The sequence below is a fragment of the Homo sapiens genome, chromosome 13 (assembly GCF_000001405.40).
Source record: "Homo sapiens chromosome 13, GRCh38.p14 Primary Assembly".
NCBI classification, from domain to species: Eukaryota; Metazoa; Chordata; class Mammalia; order Primates; family Hominidae; genus Homo; species Homo sapiens.
This window is the reverse complement of record NC_000013.11, coordinates 26,929,136-26,931,832: the sequence shown is the minus strand read 5'-3', so window position 1 is coordinate 26,931,832 and position 2,697 is coordinate 26,929,136. Positions and strand designations below refer to the sequence as shown.

The 2,697-nt window shown below is 46.5% G+C and overlaps 1 annotated feature.

Moving 5' to 3' along the window:
- Nucleotides 1,309-1,458: a silencer, noted in NCBI's record as "silent region_5191". NCBI's record gives its function as "represses an Ori minimal core promoter by ATAC-STARR-seq in GM12878 lymphoblastoid cells {active_cell/tissue: GM12878}" and the evidence as "EXISTENCE:reporter gene assay evidence [ECO:0000049][PMID:35858748]".

Sequence of the window (2,697 nt, the reverse complement as noted above, 5' to 3'; positions counted from 1 at the left end):
CACTCTGCCTCCCAGGCTGGAGTGCAATGGTGCAATCTCAGTTCACTACAACCTCCACCTCCTGGGTTCAGGTGATTCTCCTGCCTCAACCTCCTGAGTAGCTGGGACTACAGGCGCACGCCACCCTCTCCGGCTAATTTTTGTATTTTTTTGTAGTGACGGGGTTTCATCCTGTTGGCCAGGCTGGTCTCGAACTTCCAACCTCAAGTGATCTGCCCACCTTGGCCTCCCAAAGTTCTGGGATTACAGGCGTGAGCCACCGCGCCCGGCCAGACTTGTCTTTTTGCAGTGTTGGCTGCAGGGCATTGCTTGTGGCACTGCCGTTACTAATGCCTGCCAATTACTGAGTGTGCACTGTGGGCCCCACATGGTAATTCATTTAATCCTCCCATCAATCCTTTGGGGAAGGTATTGCCAACCTCTCTTTACATATAAGCAAACTGAGGTTCAGAAATGCCTGGTCGCTTGCCCCAGGGCACCTGACCAGAATCCAACCTCAGGAATCCTGATGTGGAAGGCCAGCTCCTGGCTGCTACATCCCAGCCGCTGCCTTGAGATCCGTCAACATGGAGCCTTTCAGGATGGACATTTTCTTTCTTACAGGATTATTGTGGTAGGAAATTTGAGGGTGAGAAGAAATGTCAGTTAAAAGAGGCACGATGATTGTCACAATGCACTCCATCCAGGAAGAGCTGAATTCAGGTGCCAGCCCTGCCACCTAAAGGCATGTGACTTAGGGCAAGTTACCTGCCCTCTCTCTACCTCAGTGTTTTCATCTGTAAAGTGGGGTTAATAATGTGCCAACCTGATACGGTGGTTGTGAGGAGTAAATGAGAAAATCCGTATCAAGTGCTAAATGCAAGGCATGGCATACAGTGAAGAGTCAGTACTTGATGCTGTTATTATTATTATTATATTTCCCATTGGCATCCCCTCACTGTCTCTTGTTCTAAACAGCCTGTGCGGGCATCCCGTGCCACCCTTTTTTAGTGGGGATTATGGCCGCCTTGCCAGTCTATGTAGGACAGATTCATTGCCCTGAGCTAATGAAAAAGATTCCAGAAAACACCATCATCTCCCATCACGATCACATTTTCAAAGAATGTAATTTCAGCAGAAATCCCTGTAAGGTCCCGAAGTGCCTACTGCCCACCCAGCCATGCTGTGGCTTTTGTCTGCAAACTGTGCTGCTCTGACCTGTTCTACAAAGTGGTGGTCGGAGCAAGCCTGGCAGGGTACCTGCGGTTCTCGGGAAGGAGGCCCTCAAAACCACAAAGCTCCTTCCTCGACTCTGGAAAATGACATCATGAGCATCCCTCCGTCATTATAAATGCATTTTCAACTCAAGGCGCTGCCGCTGAGTAGGGAACGGTTACCACAGATCACCGCTAGAGGGCGCCCAAGCCCGCCTCTTAACCGCTTGGGAGGGGACTCAGGCTTCCAGATCTTGAGAAAAAGTAAATAGACCCCGGGATACAACCTTCCGCACTGATCTATTACGCACATTTTAAAAGCCTGTAACTCTTTGATCTCAGTCTCGCCCTTTAATTGTTAATATTCTGCCCTCAGCGAAAGGCTGGGAAACGGGTTGAGAAACAAAATATGTATGTACGTATGTATATACGCATGTATTTGGAGATGTGGTGTCTCTGTGTTGCCCAGGCTGGCCTTGAACTCCTGGGCTGAAGCATCCTCCAGCCTCAGCCTCCCAGGTAGCTAGGACTACAGGTGCACTTGACACCATGCCCTGCTGATAAACAATTATTAATGACCAATAAGGAATGACTTTGTGTGAGATAAGAAGCTTCTATTAATTCTCTCTGATTCCTACAACAGCCCTGTTAGGGGATATGCTCTTCACTCTTCTTCTTTGACCTTTTCTTTTTTCTTTTCTTTTTTTTTTTTTTTTTTTTTTTTGAGACAGGGTCTCGCTTGGTCACCGAGGCTGGAGTGCTGTGGCCTGATCATAGCTCTTTGAAGTCATTGTAAACTCAGAGAACTGGAGCGAATAGGGAGGGTAGAGAGGACACAATGAACACCCTTTTAGTCATCACCTGGGTTTAACAATTGTTAGCCCTTTGCCATATTTGCAGAGTTTGAGATATGATCCTCAAGGAGAAATCAGAATTCCATTAACTCAAGGCCCTGGGTTCAAGCCAAGGAACAGGATTATAAAATGGCCTAAAAACACAGGCCAGAGAAAGGTGGGTGGGGTGGTGGGCAATGGGAGGGGACCTCCCTCCACACTGAGGAGGGCAATACCTATGGCAACCACTGTTGGGCTAGAAACCCAAGGATGGAACAGGGTCCCAGATGGAAAAGGATCACTCTTGGCCAGAGATTTAAGCAACCTTAATACTGATCCAGGTCAGGTGGTAGAATATTTCAAAAATGAAAAGGTCAAGGCTAGAAGGGCCAGTAGATATTGGTAGGGAGGAAAGGTGCTATGACTAACTTGAAAATTGAACTTTTCCATGTAATATTTTCTTAATTATATGTCTTAGGGATGCAGTATAAACAGGCATATGACAAATGACTAATCAATTTCCAATAATGAATGACTTATTATTTATTGACCAACCGTGTTCTTCCCAGGCATAGTATAGAAACCTGGATGGACAGGAAGACTAGCTTTCTGTTTCTGGAAGGAGAATGAGACTTTTCTTTTATTCTTAAATACATCCAGGAAACATTCCA